At 42.3% G+C, this 21,887-nt stretch overlaps 1 protein-coding gene across 1 annotated transcript; it reads left to right on the top strand.

The window, feature by feature from the left end:
• Positions 1 to 251: 251 nt before the first annotated feature.
• BPY2C (basic charge Y-linked 2C) lies at positions 252 to 21,455 on the top strand. Its single transcript, NM_001002761.1, has 9 exons — positions 252 to 282; positions 558 to 680; positions 3,746 to 3,882; positions 8,292 to 8,410; positions 10,470 to 10,587; positions 13,442 to 13,547; positions 14,240 to 14,364; positions 20,915 to 21,039; positions 21,134 to 21,455. Exons 4-7 carry the CDS (start codon positions 8,333 to 8,335, stop codon positions 14,256 to 14,258), a joined length of 321 nt encoding a protein of 106 aa, NP_001002761.1. The 5' UTR covers positions 252 to 282; positions 558 to 680; positions 3,746 to 3,882; positions 8,292 to 8,332; the 3' UTR covers positions 14,259 to 14,364; positions 20,915 to 21,039; positions 21,134 to 21,455.
• Positions 21,456 to 21,887: the final 432 nt, after the last annotated feature.

Raw genomic sequence — 21,887 nt, 5'->3', positions numbered from 1 at the left:
GGAGCTTGCAGTGAGCCGAGATCGTGCCACTGCACTCCAGTCTGGGCAACAGAGCGAGGCTCCATCTCAAAAAAAAAAGAAAAAAGGAAGAAAGAAAAGAAAAGCTTTGTGACATATCTCTATGCCTATCACCTAGGTGATGTGACTTCCTGCTTGACCCTGCCCACATGGAGCATTGTGACATATGTGTGGAACCTGCACTTAGGTGATGTAACTCTCTTGACTGGGTCCTTTTCTAAGGGGGGCTTGTGAATATCTCAGGACCCAGGACCATGTGATATGGTATTCAGCCTTGTTTTTTCCCACATATTAAAGTGTGACATATACCTAAAGAAGCACCTAGGTGATATGATTCTCTTTTTCTGCCTGATCCCTGCCTACTGGTGACATTCGGCCATATCTCTGAGCACATAACCTATATGATGTGACTCTCTTATTCTGTCTGCGCTTTGACAATAAGAAGACTGTGAAATGTTAATGAGCCCAGCACTTAGGTAACGTAAGTCTTGTCTGGTTGCTGAACAACCCCCACAAACAAGACTTTTGCTGTATTTCAGGGCCCAACACCTGGATGATGTTACTCTTCTGCCTAGGTCATGCGTAAAGAGGGAATTAGGGCATATTGCTTGGCCCAGTCCCGTAATGATATGACTCTCCTGCTTGTGCCAGAGCCACAGAAGGTATTTTGATATATCTTGTTCCCTTTCTGTACGTGTTTTGGCTCTCATAACTTTGCTGGTATTCTTCCACGTGTTGTTGTAGCATATTGCTGGTTCCAGCCCCCAGTTAATGTGACCCTCTTTCCTAGGCCCTGCCTAGGTAGAGTATTGTGACATATTGCTTGGAACAGCACCTAAGTGATGTTAACCTTCTGCCTAGATTTTGCCCACAAATGGGGTTATGACAGATACCTTGATTCAGTTCAAAAACATGATGATCAAGCTTATATCGGGATTCAGCCAACAGGAGATATTTTGCCTTGCATTGCTAGGTTTACATCAATAAGTTAGTCCCTTCATTGCATATTTATACAGAGCTCAGAGAAACTTACAACACTGATTCATATCATAAAACCTTCCTGGGTGGTACAGAGATATTTATGACGGATCCCAACAAAAAATTGAGATTGTGAATCTCCACTACACATTCAAATGCAAGTAAAAGTTGTTATCTTCTCACATTTACAAATCTCATTGTTAAGGTCCTGAGTCTAACAAGTGAATACAGGACCAAGTTGGAGTTGTGATTTTCAAAAGCTAATCTTGTCACGGGTGGGATGGTGACTCATACATATCTGGTCCCAGGTCACAGGCTTAAAAACAGTCTCATCTCTGAAGCCAGCCTAGAGAAGAGATGTTGAGAGTCATACCTTGGTTTAGGGCAATATGTAAGATCATGAGTTCATATAAGCATGTGGGCCTCAGAGAGGTTTTCAACTCTCAGGCATGTTGTATAGTGTTCTCAGATATTGCAGAGAATGTCATACAAGGGTCAGCACACACATGAGATTGTGACTGTCATATAAACAACTAGCTAACCATTAATTGTGTCACCGTTAAAGGTGAAGAGATTGTGTCATATCACTTGGCGTCATACCCCAGTGTTGAGACATTTTTGTTTAAATTCCTTTCCAAAAGGGCATTGTCACATATCACTGGGTCAGAATAATGATAATGGCCTTGAAAACAGGGGATATTTTCACACACCCCCAAGCCTATTGGCCAGGTGATATGTCTCTCCTGCTAGTGCATTGCCCACAGGGGACATTGTGATATATCACTAGATACAGCATCTAGGTAATACTCCTGCCTGGAACCTGTCCACCAAATAAATTGTGACATACAACTGAGTGCAAAACCTAGGTGACATGACTCTCCTATTTGTCCTGGACTCTGCCAAGACAGGGAATTTCTACATATTGCTGAGCCCAGCACCCAGGTGTTGTGATTCTTTTTTTACTTTTATTTTTCATCAAATCTGTCTACATTGGGCATGGTGACATATTACCTGAGGGTCTACCCAGGTGATGTGGCTCTTCAGCCTGATTTCTGCTCACATGTTAGATTGTGACATACAACTAGGAAAGCACCTAGGTATATGACTCTCCTTTTCAGCCCATGCCCTGCCCTACTGGGACAGTGGGATCTATCTCTGAGCCCAAGACCTAAGTGAAGTGACTCTCTTCTTCAGTCTGGTCTTTGCAGTGACGGCATTGTGACATATTGCTGAGCCCAGCACTCAGATTTATTGACAGCTATTTCTCTTGAACCATGCAAACAAACAGAAATGTTGACCTATTGCAGGGCTCAGCACACATATAATGTTACTCTTTTGCCTGGATTTTGCGTACACGGAGAATTATGGCATATACTAATATATAATAATAGCACACTAAAAATGTGACTGTCATGCTTTCCTGCAGCTACAGAAGGCATTTTGACATATACTGAGCTTATTCTGTAGATGTCTTGGCTCTGATTTTTTGCCTGTTCTTTTTCTACATATGGGATTGTGTCATATTGCTGTGTCCAGTACCCAGTTAATATGACTTAATTCCTATACGCTGCCTAGAGATGGCATTGTGGCATGATGCTTGGCACAGCACAGTGATGTTACACCCCTGCCTAGTTTTGGCCCACAAATAGGATTATGACATATACCTTACTTCAGTTCACAGGCATGATGGTCTAAATTACACTGGGAATCAGCCAAAGGAGATATTTTGCCTTTTATCACTAGAACAAGGGAAATAGGTGAGGTTGTGGGTTGCATATTTGTACCAAACTCAAAGACCTTTACAACACTAACTCATAATGTATAAATGTGTGGAGTACAGAGAGTTTCATGACAGGGAGTAGCAAAAATTCAGATTGGGACTCTCGATTACACAACCAAGTAAAAGCAAACGTTGTCACTATTCCATATGTCCAAACCTCACTGTTAAGGTCTTGAGTCTAACAAGTGAATACAGTACAACATCAGAATTGTGACCTTCATATGTGGATCTGGCCACGGGTGGGATGGTGACTCATTTCTGGATCCAGCTTACAGGCATAATAAACTGTCTCATCCCTGAACCCAAACTGCAGAAGAGATGTTGACTATTATACCTGAGTTTAGGGTAATATGTAAGATCATGAATCCATACAAACATGTAGGCCTCAGAGTGGTTTGCAACTCTCACGCATGCTGTATAAAGCCTTCAAATGTCACAGAGTGTCAATCAACAGCCCAGGAAACACATGAAATTGTTATATTCATGTAGACAGTCAGTTCACAGTTAATGGTGTCACCCTCAAAGGCAACAAAATTTGGTATATTACTAGGCCATGTACCCACCTGTTGAGACATTTTGGCATAAATTCTTTCCCACAGGTGCACTGTGACGTATCACTGGGTTCATATCATTGTAATGTGACTCTTCTGTCTGGACCCTGCCAACAGGGGATATTATCACATATCTCTGGACCTATAAGTAGGGGAATTTTTCTCTCCTGCATGTTCCCTGCCCCCAGAAGGCATTGGAAAATATTAACTTAACATCTGGGTCACGTGATTCTACTCTCCTGCCTGGGTGTGGCTCACCAAAGAAGTTGTGACATAGCACTGATTGCAAAATCTATGTGATGTGGCTTTCCTTCATATTCTAGACTCTTCCAAGCCAGCAGATTATTACAGTTTGCAAAGCCCAGCACTGAGGTAGAGTAGAGTGACACTCCTCTTTTTCTTTTTTTCCTGGCAATAGTGTGCTTGGTGACATAATCTTTGAGGCTGTCACATCACCAAGATTATATTGTATCACTGGACCAGCATAAAGCTGACACTTCTGACTATGCCCAGCCTTCAAATAATACTACACTGTATAATTGGCTCAACACCCAGGTAATGTGACTTTCCTTTCTTGTCCCTGCTCACAGGCCAAGTTTTGACATATATCTGGGTTAAGCACACATGCAGAATAATAACTCTCATACCTGGACCCAGCCAGTAGAGATAATTGACTCTCATAGGCAGTCTCACGACAATGGGTTATGTCCTGAGTTTTTCAACTGTATAAAGTTCACAAAGGATTATAACACTCGGGTATATCATATACAGCCTTAATTGTACAATGAGTGTCATAAGAGAGGCCAGAAATGAAGTGAGAATGGGACTTTTAAATGCACACCCAGCTGACATGATTGTCATTCTCACACATGAACAGGGCGTAGGAATGAGATACTAATCTCACACATAAAAAAACAGTCAAATGTTTAAATAATTACTCTTACACATAGATCTGATTCACAGGTGGTTTGGTAAAGTTTGAACCATGATTCAGCACACCTGTGGTGTTGTGTCTTCCCTACTGGAACACAGTCTTCAAGGGGGATTGGGGCTCCTATACATGAATCTTGACCATTGTTGAGATTGTGACTCCTCTACTAAGATCTACCTCATAGAAAGAGTTGGCTCAGGTACAGGAAACTAGGTGTTGTGTGGCATGTGAAACTTATTTCCAAGCATATCTGAGAGTGTGATTTGGACAGGTAACCATGTCCAGCACATGAATAATCTGACTCTCTTTTCTAGGCCCAGAACTCGGATGAAATAGTGCCCTATGTTGAACAAGCACCTAAGAAATATGTAATACCTTCTTTGGCCTTGTCTGCAAAGGGCACTTTCATATATCACTGGGACCATCACCCAGGTGATGTGAATTATCTGCCTAAAACCTGCCTACAAGAGGAATTGTGTTTTATATCTACATCCACCATGAATTGAAGTGACTCCCTTCTACTGCCTTGGCCCTGCCCTTACAGTGCATTTTGACACATAAGCAGAAACTGTGTCCAGGAGATCATTGTCCTTTTTGCGTTCTGCCAACTGGAACATGGTAACATATCACTTAGCTCAGAATGTAGGTGATGTTTCCTCGCATTGTCCTCGCCCTGACCACAGGGAGATTGTGACATATTTCTGGGTCCAGCACCCTTGTGAGGTCACTCTCCAGCCTTGGTAATGCACATAAGAAGCATTGTGACAAATAGCTAGGCCAATTGCCCAAGTGAAGTGAGTGTCCTCTCTAGCAAAAATCCTGCCCAGAGAAGAGGTTTTGATATTTCACTGACACCAGCATCCAGGTGATTTGACTCTTCTGCCAGGGTCCTGTCCACAAGGTAGACTGTGACTTCTCACTGAATCCACACCCATGTAGCTGATGAGATTTTCTTCTCTTCTCTCTGGCCACTGCCGATATTGTGCCTTATACAAGAGACCATAAATAAAAGCCTAATAACAACACATATATCTGGAGCCAGGACATGTGCAGCATGGTGACTCTTAGTCTTAAAGCGATACACAAGTGTAACTGTGACATATACCTTTACCCAGCTCCTTAGTGATTTAATAATTCTGCATAGGTATAGCATCAAAATGAGATTTTGACAAATCCTTGGTATAAGCATCTTCATGATTTGACTGTGTTATCTTAATAATATCCACAGGCGTGACTGTAACGTATTTCTGGCCCATCACATAGGTTACATGACTGTTCTCTCCCACCTGTACATGATTTTCTTTGGTAACTGTATCATTTCTAAACACTGTATCCAAATGATATGACTCTCTTGCCTGGGCCCTGTCAAGAGGAGGCATAGTGACATATTTTGGGTTCCATCATTTACCTGATATGGCAGCTCTCCTCTCCTGCTTGGACACTGCCAATAAGGGACACTGTGCCACCAAGCTGGATCTAGCACACAATTTATGTGGCATTTCTACAGGATCCTGCCTACAAAGAGAATATTGGAATATTTCTGGCCAAGAATTTAGGTGATGTGATTGTTCTGCCTGCTTCATAACCACAGAGAGTAATATTTGTACACAGAGAGTTGCATATTTGTACAAAGTCCAAAGATTACAACACTAACTTATATTGTATAAACTCATTGGTGGTAAAAACTTTCATAACAGGGCCCAGTAGAAAGTTCAGATTTGGAGTACTGATTATACACCCCAGTAAAATTAAAAGTTGTCACCATCCTACATATACAATGCCCACTGTGGAATACGGCACAAAGTTGCAATTGTGAATTTATATGTGGATCTGTCTGGAGGTGGGATAATAATGGGTCTTCTCCTTTAACCCTACATATAAAAGAGATGCTGACTATCAAATCTGAATTGAGGGCAATGTGTAAAATTGTGAACCCATATGAGCATGCAGGTCGCTGAGAGGTTTACAACTCTCATGCAGGTTTTATAAAGCCCTCGGATGTAAAGAGTGTCATACATTGGCCCAGCATACATGTGAGATTGTGATTCTAATATTCAACCTTAGCTGAAAGTTAAAGGTGTCACCCTAAAAGATGAGGAGAGTGTGTCTTATCACTAGGCCTGGTAACCAAGTGTTGAGAATTAGGGCTTAAATTTTGCCCATAGGTGCATTGTGAATTATCACTGGGTCAGAATCCTAATAATGTGAAACTTCTTCTTGGACCCAGCCAACAGGGGATATTATCACGTATCTCTGGGCCTATCAGCTAGGTGATGTGGTGTCTCTCATGCCAGTGCCCTGCCACAGTGGACACTGGGACATATCACTATAGTATCTAGGTAATGTGACTCTCCACTCCTGCCTGGATTCTGGCCACTGAAGAAATTTTGACATACCACTGAGTGCAAAACCTAGGTGATGTGACTCTCTTCTTTGTCTTGGACTCTGCCAGTGAGCTTTGTCTTGAACTCTGCTAATGAGGAAATAATAAAATATTGCTGAGCCCATCACCTAGGGGCGTGACAATCCTCTATTTTTCAATCCAGGGTTTAGTGGTCATGATAATATTATCTGAGACTGTATCCAGGTGATATGACTGTTCTGACTGGGTCCTGACTAAAAAGGAAATTATAACGTATCCCTTGCTCAGCAACCAGATAATGTAACTCTTCTCTCTTGTCTCTGTCCAAAGGTGAAATTGTGATGTATACCTGGATTCAGCTCATATAATAACTGGATTCAGCACAATAATAACTCTCATACCTAGACCTAGCCAGTGGGAGATATTTGACTTTCACAGGCAGTCTTAAGGCCATGGGTAAAGTCCTAGATCTCCCACCTGTAATAATTTACGGGAAATTATACTACTCAGGCATATCATATAAAGCCTGAATGTTACAAAGAGTTTCATAACAGGTACCTGCAACCAGGTTCCATTGTGACTCTTGGATGCATAGACAACTGACATGATTTTCATCTTCACACATGTACAGAGCCTACAAATGAGGTAGTAAATCTCACACACATAAGCAGTTGAAGCTTGAAATTGTTACTCTCATACACGAATCTGATCCATAGGTGATTTGGTGATGTTTGAACTATGATTTAGTCAAACTGTGGTACTTTGACTTTCCTACTGGAACACAATCTTCAAGTGGGATTGAGACTCTTCTATGTGGATCTTTCCTATTTTTGAGATTGTGACACCTGTACTTCAACCCAACTTATAGGAGGTGTTGACTCTCATACCCAAATCCAGGACTTGTGTGGGACTGTGAAACTTATTTCTGAACATTTTTGAGTGTGTAACTGAGAAGTATAACTTTGCACAGAATCTGAGTGTTTTGACTCTCCTTTCTAGGCCCAGAGCACAGTTGAAATTGTGACTTACATGCACCAAGCACCTAAGCAATAAGTAACATCTTTTTTGGTAATGAAACATAGGGCACTTTTACATATCACTGAGATCAGCACTTGGCTGATGTGAAATCTTGGCCTGAGGCCTGCCTACAGAGAGCACTGTGGTTTTTATATAAGTTGATTACTTAAGTGACATGACTTCCTTCTACTGTCTTGGCCCTGCACTTCTGGTGGTGGATTGTGACACGTAACTAGGTACTGCACCCAGGTGATGTGACTTTTTTGGAGAATGAAGTTTCTGCCAGTAGGAAGCTTTGTAACGTATTACTTGGCTCAGCGACTAGGTGATATTTCTTTTCTCTTGCCTGTGCCCTGACCGCCAGAGAGATTGTGACATGTTGCTGAACCTAGCACCAAAGCGAGGGTTACTCCCCTGCCTTGATCCTACACATAGGGGCCATTGTGACGTATATTCAGGCCAATTGCCTAAGTGAAGTTTGTCTTCTCTCCTGCCTAAGTTCTGCTCACAGGGGGGATCTTATATGTCACTGAAACCAGCATCCGGATGATGTGACTCTTCTATCAGAGTCCTAGCCACAAGGACAATTGAGACATTTCACTGGACCAGCATCCACTAAGGTGATGGAACTTTCCTTTTTCTCTCTGCCCACAGGTGATATTGTTCCATTTACCTGAGACCAGATAAAAAGCCTAATGATGACGCTTGTCCCCAGAGCCAGGACACGTGCAGGACAGGATCATTACTCTCATCCCTGCCCCAGATTTTCACAGGTACTATTGTGACATACACCTTTACCCAGCTCCTGAGTGATTTAATAATCCTGCCTTGTTATAGCCCGCAGATGACATTTGGACCTACACCTTTCCCAGGAACCTTTATGATTTTACTCTTGTGTCCTAACAGGTTCTCGGAAGTGATCATAACATATCTCTGGAGCCATTGTCTAGGTTACATGACTCTCCTCTTCTGCATGAACCCTGCTTCCAGTGAAGAGTAGCATTTCTAAGCACTGCACCCAAATGACATGAGTCTCTTGTCTGGGCTTTTTAAAGGGGGGGCTTTGTGATATCTCTCTGGGCCCTTCATTTAGGTGATATGACTCTCCTCTACTGCCTGGACACACTCCACAAAGGGCATTATGCCATAGAGCTGAGTCTAGCACCTAAGTTTTGTCATATTTCTGTTAGGGCCCTCTCTACAAAATAAAGTTGGGGTATTTCTGGCTTAGGATTTAGGTGATGTCGTTTTCTGCCTGTTTAATTACCACAGATGAGATGGCGCCGTATCTGTAGACACATCTAAAATACATGATAAGGACTCTCATATGTGAACCCAGCCAATAGGAAACATTTTGACTCTTATAACTAGGCTTAGGGAGATAAGTGATATCCAGCATCTCCTTCTGGTAAAAAGGTCACAGAAGATTACAACATTCACACATATTTTATAACATCCTTGTGTCGTATAGAGAGAGTCATAACAGGGCCTAGCACATGGAGAAAATTGGGATTCTCATATGTACATTCAGCTGACAGTAACGGCTTTCACCATTACAGATGATGAAGGCAATTGTCCCACATAAAAATAGAACACGCCTGATATTGTAAATCTAATCCCTAGAATTTTATTCCATCATGACTGATATAAATCTTTGCCAAGTGCCTGTGTGAGTTCACCCTTCAGATTGGTTCCAGCCTACCTATGGGATTTTGGTATCTACCTAAGCCAACCTTGAAGTGACGTGACTCTTTTGCCTGGGCCCTCCACTCAGAATTATAACATCATTGGATCCAGCACACAGGTGACGTTACATTCTTGCTTGCGCCATGCTCGCAGATATCATTGTGACATATTGCAGTGTCCATCAGTTAGAAGATGTCACTCTCCTCTCTGGAAAGGGCCTTGAACACTGGGCAAAATAGTGACCTGTTTCTAGGCCAGGCACACAGGTGATGATGCTCTTTTCCCAGGGCTATGCCCAAAAAAGGGCATTTGACATATCACAGGACCTATCGTGTAGGTGATACGGCTCTTCTGCTTGAAACTTGCCCAATTGAATAGTGACATACTGCTAGGCCAGGCACAATGGTGATGGAACTCTTTTGCCAGGGCCATGCTTTCAAAAATGCCTTGTCATATATACCTGGTCCTATCACCAAGGTGATGTGACTTCCTGCTTGGTCCTGCCCACATGAAGTATTGAGACATAAGCGTGGAATCTGCACCTAGGTGACATAACTCTCTTGCCTGGGTCCTTTTCTAAGAGGGACTTGTGAATACCTCAGTACCCAGGACCACATGATGTGGCTCTTCAACCTGGTTTTCACCCACATATTAAATTGTGACATATAGCTAAAGAAGCATCTAGGTAATATGACTCTTCTTCTGTCTGAACCCAGCCTACTGGTGATATTGGGCCATATTTCTAAGCCTGTGACCTAAGTGATGTGACTCTATTTTTGTCTAGGGCTTTACAATGGTAAGATTATGAGATATTGATGAGCTCAGCATTTAGGTAATGTGACTCTCATCTTGTAACTGAACAACGCCCAGGAACAGATCTTTTGCCGTATTTCAGGGCCCAGTACCCAGATGAAGCTGCTCTTCTGCCTAGGTTGTGCATAAAGAGAAAATTGTGGCATATTTCTTGGCCTAGAACCCTAATGATGTGACTCTCCTGCTTGTGCCAGGACCGCAGAAGGTATTTCGACATATCTTTGGCCCATTTTCTAGGTGTTTTCACTCTTACCACTTTGCTGAATTTCTTCCACGTGTGGTTGTATTATATTGCTGACTCCAGCCTGCAGTTAATGTGGCCCTCTTTCCTAGGTGCTGCTTACAGAGGGCATCATGACATATTGCTTGACAAAGAACCTAAGTGATGTTAATATTCTGCATAGGTTGCTAAAAAATGGGAATGTGAGAAATACCTTGCTTCAGTCCAAAGGTATGATGATCAAGCTTATGTTGGGATTCAGCCAATAGGAGAGATTTTTCCTCTCACCACCAGGTTTAGGTCAAAGAGTCAGGTTACTCATTGCACATTTCTACAAAGCTCACAGTAGTTTACAACACTAACTCATGTAATAAAAATTTCCTGGGTGATACAAAGGGTTTCTTAACAGTGCCCAGCAAACAGTTAAGATTATGATTCTTGACTGCACACTCAGATGAAAGTAAGTTTTTACCATCCTACATCTACAAAGCCCATTGTTGAGATCCTGAGTCTAAGCAAATACACCACAAAGATGGAGTTGTGACTTTCATAAATGAATATGGCCGCAGGTGGGATGGTGACTCATTTTTGGAGCCAACTCTCAGTCATAATAATGATCTCATCCCTAACACCAGTCTATAGGAGAGATGCTGACTGTCATACCTGGGTTTAGGGCAATATGCATAATCATAATTCTGTAAATGCCTGTAGGCCTCAGAGAGGATTGCAACTCTCATGCATGTTGCATAACGTTCTCAGGTATTATAGAGAGTGTCATACAATGGCAAGCACACACATGAGATTGTGACTCTCTTATACACAGATAGCTAACATTTAATGGTGTCACCCTTAAAGATGAGGAGATTTTGTCATATATCTTGCCCTACTAGCTGGTGTTGAGAACTTTTAGTTTAAATTTCATTCCATTAGGGCATTGTTACATATCACTGGGTCAGAATCAAAATAATGTGACTCTTCTTCCAGGGCCCTGCAAACAGAGGATATTTTCCCATATCTCCAGGCCTATTGGCTATGTAATATGTCTCTCCTGCCAGTACTTTGCCCAGAGGAGACACTGACATATTGCTGGATTTAGAATCTAGGAAATTTGACCCATCTTTACTGCCTGGATCCTCCTCACTGAAAAAATTGTCATATACCATTGAGTGCAGAGCCTAGGTGACAGAAGTCCCCTTTTTTTCCTGGACTCTGTCAAGAGAGGGAATTGTTACATATTGGTGAGCAGAGCACCCACGTGGTGTCATTATCTAATTTTATAAGAAACCTATCTATGCTGGGGATGGTGACATATTACTTGCAGTTGTACCCAGGTGATGTGGCTCTTCTGCCTGGTTTCTGCCCGTGGGTAAGGTTTTTGGCATATAACTAGGGAAACATTTAGGTGATATGAGTCTCCCTTTCTGCCTGGGCCCTGTTCACTGGGTACACTGGACTATATCTCTGAGCCCATGAACTAAGGGAAGTGACTCTCTTTTTCTGCTGGGTCTTTACAATGGAGAGATTGTGAAATATTGCTCAACCTAGCAATCAGGTTATTTGATTCACCTTTTTTTTTTTTAATCTCAAATCATGCCCACTAACAGAAATTTTGGCCTATTGCAGGGCCCAGCACCCAGATAATGTTACGCCTTTACGTGGGTCCTGTATGTAGAGAATATTATAACATACTGCTGGGCCCAGCATCCTGAAAATATAAAACTCATGACTTTGCTGGAGGCAGAGAAGGTATTTTCACAGATCCTGGGCCCATTATGTAGGTGTTTTGGCTCTTATCTTTTTGCTGTTTTTTTTTTTTTTTTTTTCACTTTTGTTTTTGTTTGTTTCCACATAATGGATTGTTTCATATTGCTGAGTCCAGAACTCAGTTAACATGACTCTAATTCCTCTATGTTACCTAGAGAGGGCACTGTGGCATGTTGCTTGGCACAACACCTAAGTGATGTTACCCTCGGGCCTACTTTTTTTGCTCACAAATGGGACTATGACTTCAGTTCACAGGCATGATGGTCAAATTTATACTGAGATTCAGCCAATAGGAGATATTTTACCTTTCATTGCTAGGCTTTGGGCAATACATAAAGTCTGGGTTGCATATTTGTACCAAGCTCACAGAGCTTTACAACACTAACTCATAATGTATGAACTTCTTTGTTGGTATAGAGAGTTTGGTGATAGGGACCAGTGAAGAGTTCAGTTTGAGATTCTTGATTACACACCCAGGTAAAAGCAAGTGCTGTCATCATTCTACATGTCCAAAGGCCATTGTTAAGAACCTGAGTTTTACAAATGAATGCAGTGCAAAGTTGGAATTGTGACTTTCGTATGTGGATCTGGCCACAGGTGGGATTGTGACTTATTTCTAGATCCAGCTCACAGGCATAAAAATGAGTCTCATTTCTAACCCAGCCTATAGAGGAGATGCTGACTATTATACCTGGGTTTAGGGGAATATGTAAGGTCATGAATCCATGTGAATATGTAGGCCTTAGAGTGGTTTGAAACTCTCATGCGTGATGTATAAAGCTTTTGAAAATTGTTGAGAGTCATGCAACGGCCCAGGATACTAGTGAAATTGTTACTCTCATATACACACCCAGCTCAGAGTTTATAATGTCACTCTCAAAGACAAGGGGATTTGGCCTATTAATAGGCATAGTGCTTAGGTGTTGAGACTATTTGGCTTAAATTCCTTTCCTTGGGTGGATTGTAACATATCACTGTGTTAGAATCATAATGTGTCTCTTCTGTCTGGACCCTGCCAAAAGGGGATATTATCACATATCTATGGGTCTATAAGCTAGAGGATTTGTCTCTTCTGACAGTGTCCTGCACCCAGAAGACATTGTGAAATATTGTTTGGCTTAACATCTAGGTAATGTGACTCTCACCTCCTGCCTGAGCCTTGCTCAGCAAACAAATTGTGACATACCGCTGATTGAAAAACCTACATGATGTGACTCTCCTTCATATTCTAGACTCTACCAAGAGAGAGGGTTGTTACATATTGCGGAGTCCAGCACATAGGTGGACTGACTGTCCTCTCTTTTTTCTTCCCTGTCCATAGTGGGCTTGCTGACATATTATGTGAAACTGTACCCGGGTGAAGTGACTCTTCTGACTAGGCCCAGCATACAAATGAGATTATGCTGTATCACTGGCTCAGTGTCGAGGTGAGTTGACTCCCTTTCCTTGTCTCTGCTTACAGGTGAAATTTTGACACGTACCTGGGTTAAGCACGCATGGACAAAAATAACTCTCATACCTGGGCCCAGCCTGTAGGAATATTTTGACTCTCATAGCCAGTCTCACGGCCATGGGTAAAGCCCTGTGTTTTTCACTTGTATAAAAGTCACGAAGGATTATAATACTCAGGTATATCATATAAAGCATTAATGGTGCAAAGAGTGTCATAACAGAGACCAGCAACCAGGTAAGAATATGACTCTTGTATGCACACTTCACTGAAATGATTGTCATTCTCGCATATTAACAGGGTCTAGGAATGAGGGACTAAATCTCACACATAAAAAGCAGTCGATGTTTGAAATAATTACTCACCTACATGGACCTGATCCACAGGTGGTTTGTTAACATTTGAACCAGGATTCAGCACACCTGTGGTGCCGTGACTCCCCTCCTGGACCACAATGTTCAAGGGGGATTGCGGCTCTTATACATGAATCTTGCCCATTGTTGAGATTTTGACTCCTCCATTTTGATCCAACTTACAGAAAGAATTGACTCACATACACAAAACCAGGACTTGTGTGGGATGTGAAACTTATTTCCGAACATATATGAGAGTGTCATATTGGGATAGGTCACTTTGTCCAGCAAATGAATAATTTGACTCATTTTCTAGGCCCAGATCACAGAAGTAATTGTGCCATATGTGGAACAAGCAGCTAAGCAATAGATAACATCCATCGTGGCTCTGCCTTCAAAGGGAAATTTTACATATGTCACTGGGACCATCACCCAGATGATGTGAGTTATCTGCCTGAAACCTTTCTACAAAAGGAATTTTGTTATATATCTAGGTCCATCCTGTAAGTGATGTGACTCTCTTCTACTTCCTTGGCCATGCACTTACAGGGCATTGTGACAAAGAACTGGGTACTGCATTCAAGTGATGTGATTCTTCTTTTTGGGTTCTGCCAACAGGAAGCATTGAACATATCACTTGGCTCAGTACCTAGGTGATGTTTCTTCACTTTCGCCTTGGCCCAGACCACAGGCAGATTGTGACATATTTCCTGGGACAAACACCTATGTGAGGCCACTCTACAGTTTGGTTACTGCACGGAATAGACATTGTGGCAAACATCTAGGCCAACTGCCTTTGTGAAGTGAGTCTCCTCTCTTGCCAAAGCCCTGCCCAGAAGAGAGGCTTTTGATATGTCACTGAAATCCAGGTGCTGTGGCTCTTCCACCAGGTTCCTACCCACAAGGTGAATAGTGATGTCTTAGTGGCCCAGACCCACATAGGTGATGGGACTTTCTTGTGTTCTCTCTGGCCACAGGTGATATTCTGCCATGTACCAGAGACCAAAACAAAAGCCTAGTAACAACTCATATGACTAGAGCATACGACTTGTGCAGGATGGTGACTCTTAGACTTAAGCCTTTCCACAAGTCTGATTGTGACATATACCTTTGCTCAACTCCTGAGTGATTTAATAATTCTGCCTAGGTATAGCAAATGAGATTTTGACAGATACATTGGTCAAGCACCTTGGTGATCTGGCTGATGTATCTTGAAATGTCCTCAGGGGCTCTTGTAACATATTTCTGTGCCCTTCATCTAGGTTACGTGACTCTTCTCTCCTGCCTGTACCCTGCTTCTTTGGTGGATTGTAGTATTTATAATCCCTGCATCCAAATGATATGACACTCTTGCCTGGGACCTGTCAACAGGAAGAATTGTGACAAAATTTTGGGCCCATCATTTAGGTGATATTACTCTCCTCTCCTGCCTAGACACTGTCCACAAGGGATATTGAGCCATAGAGCTGGACATAGCACATAAGTTATGTGATATTTCTGAGAGGGCTCTGACTACAAAAAGAATATTGGAATATTTCTGACCCAGCATTTATGTGATATGGCTGTCAGGCCTCCTTCTTAACCACAGAGTGAATTGTAACATATACCTATGCATGGCTCACAGCCATGATAATGACTCTCATGTGTGGACTCAGCCAATAGAGGATATTTTGCATCTTATAACTCAGTTTAGGGACATGCATGATGTCCTGGATCTCCTTCTTGTACAAAGGTCACAAAATATTACAACACTCATACATATTTTACAAAGTCTTTGGGTCATACACACAAAGTCAAAGCAGGGCTCAGCACACAGATGAAATCATGAGTCTTGTTTGCACACCCAGCTGAAAGTAAGAACTCATTATCTCACATGGATAAAGGTAACTGTCACACATGAAACAGGGCATGTGTGGTAAGATGGTAAATCTCATCTTTGGAATTTTCTGACAGTGTGAGTATGATATAAATTTTTGCTAAGCACTTGTGTAATCTGAGGCTCCGGACTTGTTCCAGCTCATAGGTGGGGTTATGAAATCTACCTAGGCCAACCTCGAGGTGACATGACTTTCCTGCCTTGTCCTATCTCTCAGTAATGATTGTGACATATCACTGGACCTAGCTCCCAGGTAACGTTACATCCTTACTTGCACCCTGCCCACCAAAATTATTGTGACATATTTCTGTGTTTACCTCATAGTTGATGTGAGTCTCCTCTCTGGAATGGGCACTGCACAACAGAATGATAGTGACATAGCGCAAGGACCGGCGCACAGGCAAGGTTCCTCCTTATCCTGTGGATGCCTGGAGGAGGGCAATGTGACATATCTCTGGGTCTATCACCTACATTATGTGGCTCTCCTGCTAGGGTCCTTCCAACCTCGAAAGTGACACGCTTCTAGGCCAGGCACACAGGTGATGGTACCCTTTTCCAGGGCTATGCTTCACACAGTACATTGTGACATATCTCTGGGCCTATCACCTAAATGAAGTGACTCTCTCCCTGGGTCCTAACCAGATGAAGCATTGTGTCATAAGCAGAGACCCTTCACCTAGTATGATGTATTTCTCTTGGCTAGGTGCTGTGTTAAGAGCACTTTGTGACATATCACAGGACCCAGCACCCAAGTGATGTGGCTCTTCTGCATAGTTTCTGCCCCCATGTTAAATTGTGACATATTTTGATGGAAGCACATAGGTGATATGGCTGTCCTCATCTGCCTGAGCTCTGCCTCGTTGGAGTATTAGGACATATCTCTGAGCCCATGACCTAAGTGATGTGACTCTCTTTTCCTTCCTGGGCCTTCATAAAAGGAGGATTTTGTCACATTGCTGAGCCCAGGACTCAGGATATGTGACTCTCGGCTGTCCTCACCTGCCTGAGCTCTGCCTAGTTGGAGTATTAGGACATGTCTCTGAGCCCATGACCTAAGTGATGTGACTCTTTTTCTTCCTGGGCCTTCATAAAAGGAGGATTTTGTCACATTGCTGAGCCCAGGACTCAGGATATGTGACTCTCGGCTGTCCTCACCTGCCTGAGCTCTGCCTAGTTGGAATATTAGGACATGTCTCTGAGCCCATGACCTAAGTGATGTGACTCTGTTTTTCTTCCTGGGCCTTCATAAAAGGAGGATTTTGTTACATTGCTGAGCCCAGGACTCAGGATCTGTTTCTCTTCTCTTTCTCCTGAACCATGCCTACAAAAAAGAAATTTGACACATATTATTGCCCAGCATGCAGATCATGTTACTCTTCTGCATGGGATCTGCATAAAGAGATAATTATGGCATATTGTATATTGCTGGGCCCAGCACCCTTAAGATGTGATGCTCCTGCCTGTGCTGCTGATACCGAAAGTATTTTGACATATATTATGCCCATTATGTAGGTGTTTTGGCTCTCATAACTGGGCTGGGTTTCTTACACATGTGAAATTGTGTCGTATTTCTGGGTCCAGCACCCAGTTAACGTGACCCAATTTCCTACACCCTGCATACAGAAGGCATTGTGACATATTGCTGGGCACAGCATCTGAGTGATGTTACCCTTCTGCGTAGTGTTTTGCCCACATATGTCATTATAACATATACCCAGTTTAAGCTCACAGCCATGATGATCAAACTTATACTGGGATTCAGCCAATAGAAAATATTTGCCTTTCATTGTTAGGCTTGGGGCAATAGATAAGGTCCTGGGCTGCATATTTGTACCAAGCTCACAGAAACTTACACAACTAACTTACATTTTATAAACTCCTTTGTGGTAGAAATTTTTATAGCAGGGGCCAGCAAAAAGTTCAAATTGGGACTCTCGATTACACACCCAGGTGGAATTAAAAGTTGCCACCATCCCACATTTACAAAGCCCACAGTTGAGTCTTATACCTAAACCTTTCCGCAAGTGTAATTGTGACATATATTGTATTTCAGTTCCTGAGTGATTTAATAATTCTGCCTAGATATAGCCTACAAAAGCGATTTTGACAAATATCTTCATCAAGCACCTTGGTGATTTGACTGTGCTATCTAAAAAGTGTCCTCAGGCAAAATAGTCACATGTTTCTGGACCCATTATTTAGGGTATATGACTCTCCTCTTTGACCTGTACCCTGCTTCCTATAGTAATTGTACCTTTTCTAAACACTGCATTCAAATGACATGGCTCTCTTTTTTTGGAGAAACTCTCCTGTTGAGAGGCATTTTGACACATGCTTGAGCCCAGCTTTTAGGTCCTGTGACTCTCCTCTCCTGCCTAGACACAGCCCAAAATGAACATTGTGCAACAGAGTTGGATTTAGCACACAAGTTATGTGATATTTTGGACAAGACCCCTCCTGCAAAAAGAATACTGGAATATTTCTGGCCCAGCATTTAGGTGATGTGGCTGTTAGGCCTGATTCATAACAACAGAACAAATTATAACAAATACCTAGGCAGGGCTTGCAGGAATAATAATGACTCTTATATGTGGACTCATCCAACAGAGAATATTTTTACTCTTATAATTCAGTTTAGGGACATGCGTGATGTCCTGAATCACTTTCTTGTACAAACATCACAAAAGATTACAACACACACATTTTACAGAGTCTTTGGTTTATACAGAAAGAGTCAAAGCAGGGTTCAACTCAGGTGAAATTGTGAGTCTTGTATGCACACCCGCCTGACAGTAAGGACTGTCATCATCTCTCATGGATGAAGTCAACTGTCACACATGAAAACAGGACATGTGTGGTATTGTAAATCACATCTTTGGAATTTTCTGACAGTGTGATTGTGATATAAATCTTTGCTAAGCACCAGTGTAATTTGACTCTCCAGACTTGTTCCAGCCCATATGTGGGATTGTGATATCTACCTAGGCCAACCTCAAGGAGATGTGACTCTCCTGCCTGGGCCCTTCTCTCAGTAAGGATTGTACATATCACTGGATCTAGCATCCAGGTGATGTTCACATTCTTGCCTGTGCCACGCCAACCAAAATTATTGTGAACATATTTGTGTGTGCACCTCATAGGGATGAAACTCTGATCTCTGGAATGGGCCTTGCACAAAGGAAGGATGGTGACATATTGTGAAGCCAGGCATACAGCTGTGGGTACTTTTTGCCACAGCCATGCCCAAAGTAGGGCATTGTGACATATCTCTGCACCTATTACCTAGGTTAAGCGGCTCTCCTGCTTGGGCCCTGACAACCTGGAGAATGACATATTTCTAGGCCAGGCACACAGGTGATGATACTCTTTTGCCAAGACTATGCTTCACAGGGGACTTTGTGACCTATCTCTTGGGCCAATAAACTAGTTTATGGGACTAAATGCTTTGGCCTCACACACATAGAGCATTGTGACATGAAAGTGAAACCTGAACCAAGGTGATGTAACTCTTTCACCTTGGTTCTGAACTAATCGGGATTTGCAACATACCTTAGGACCCAGTACCCAGGTTATATGGCTCTTCTGTCTGGTTCTGCCCATGTGTTAGATTGAGACATACACCTAAAGAAGCACCAATGAGACACCACTCTCCTCTTCTGCCTGAATTCTGCCTGACTTCTGCCTACTGGGGACATTGGGACATGTTTCTAAGCCCATGACCTAAGTGATATGACTCTCTTCCCTTGCCTCAGCCTTTAAAATGCTGAAATTGTGATGTATTTCTGAGACCAGGATTTAGGTTATGTGACTATTTCCTTTTTTCTGAACCATGCCCACAAAGGGAAAATTTCACCTATTGCACTCAGATGATGTTACTCTTCTGCTGCAGTCCTGAATAATGAGGGAGTGATTGCATAATGGTAGGCCCAACACTCTAATGATGCTTCAGTCCCACCAGTGCCAGAGCCACAGAGGGCATTTTGACATATCTTCAGCCAAATCTGTAAGTGTTTTGGCTTTCATCCCTTGGTTGAGTTTCTTTTTTTAACAAGTAAAATTGTGTCATATTGCTAGGTCCAGCATCCAGATAACATGACCCTGCTTTCTGTATTCTGCCTAGAGACAGCACTGTGACATGCTGCGTGCCACAGCACCTAAGTGACATTACTCTTTTTGGTAATTTTTTGCCCACAAATGGGATTATAAAATATACCTTGCTTCAGTTTACAGGTATGATGGTCAAACTTACATTGTGATTCAGCAAATAGAAGATATTTTGCCTCTCATCGCAAGGCTTAGGGCAATAGGTAAAATCCTGGGTTGCGTATTTGAGGAAAGCTCACAGAACAATAATTAATATTGTATAAACTCCTTGGGTGGTACAGCGTTTCCTAACAAAGCCCAGCAAAAAGTTAAGATTGTGATTCTGAATTACACACACAATTGAAAGTAAAACTTGTCACCACCCCTCATTAAGAAAGCCCATTGCTGAGATACTGAGTCTAACAAGTAAAACAGTACAAAGATGGAATTGTGACTCTCATTTGTGGATTTTGCCACAGGTGCAACCATCACTCATTTTTAGACCCAGCTCACAGGCATAAAAATAAGCCTCATTCCTGAACTAAGCATAAATGAGAGATACTGACTCTCATATCTGGGTTTAAGGCAATATATAATATTCAGAGTCAAAATGAGCATGTGGACCTCAGAGTAGTTTGTGAATCTCACGCATGTTGTATAAAACTCTCAGATGTTCTAGAGGATGTCATACAATGGCCCAGCACACACGTGACAATGTGACTTACATACATATGAGTTAACAGTTAAAGGTGTCACCCTAAAAGATGAGGAGATATTGTCATATCATTGGGCCTAGTACCCAGGTGTAAAAACTGCTTTGTTTCCCATGTGTGCATTGTGACATATCGTTGGGTCAGAATCACAATAATGTGACTTTTTACTACTTGATCCTGCCAAGTAGGGATATTGTCACATATATCTGAGCCTATTTCTTGGGTGATTTGTCTATTTTGCTTCTGCTTTTTCACCAAAGAACATTGTGACATCATCGGTGATAACATCTAGGAAATGTGATTCTTCTCTCCTGCCTAGGTCCTGCCCACTAAAAGAATTGTGACATAACGCTGACTGCAAAAACTGGGTAATGCAACTCTCCTCTTTATTCTGGAGTCTGCCAAAACAAGGGATTATCACATATTGCGGAGTCCAGCACCCAGGTGATGTGAGTCTTCTCTGTTTCTCTAAGATTATAATGTATCCTGAGCTCACCATCCAGGTGATGAGACTCTCCTGCTCTGTTTCTGCCCGCAGGTAAAATTTTGTCATATACCCAGCTTCAGATACCATGCAATAATACAACTATCATACCTGGACCCAAAGAGGAGAGATATTTTGATTCTCATTGCCATTCTTATGGCCACAAGCAAAGTAATGGTTCTCATAGTGGTATAAAGTTCACACAGTATTATGACACTCCCAGCGTATCATAGAAAATGTGAGTAGTACAATGAGTGTTATAACAGGGAACAGCAAACCAATGCTATTGTGATTATTGGATTCACACCCAGCTGACGCGACTATCATTCTCTCACAAGAACAGAACCTGCAAATAAAGTACTAAATCTCACCAAAAGAGCAGTAAAAGATTGAAATTGTTCCTCTCATATGTGGATCTGACTCACAGGTGGTTTGGGGTTGCATGGTTCAGCACATCTGTGAGGCTGGGACTCTCCCCCTGGAATGCAGTTATCAAGTGGGATTGCCATCTTCTACATGGATTATGCCCATTGTTTAGATTGTGTCTCCTCTGTTTCGACCCAACTCACAGAAGGTGTTGACTTTCATACATAAAGCCAGGACTTGTGTGGGGCTGTGAAACTTACTTCAGAATATTTCCTGGTGTATGATTAGGACTTAAAAGTTAGCCCAGGTCCTGAGTAATTTGACTCTCCTTTTTAGGCCATAACCCGAGATGAAATTGTGACATATGTGGACCAAAAACCTAAGCAAAGGTGCCTGGGCCTGCCTACAAATGTCACTTTTACATATCACTGGGATGAGCAGC

This window comes from Homo sapiens, chromosome Y (genome assembly GCF_000001405.40).
Source record: "Homo sapiens chromosome Y, GRCh38.p14 Primary Assembly".
NCBI lineage: Eukaryota > Metazoa > Chordata > Mammalia > Primates > Hominidae > Homo > Homo sapiens.
Note: the sequence above shows the minus strand (reverse complement) of the source record. Positions and strands in the feature narration are given on the sequence as shown.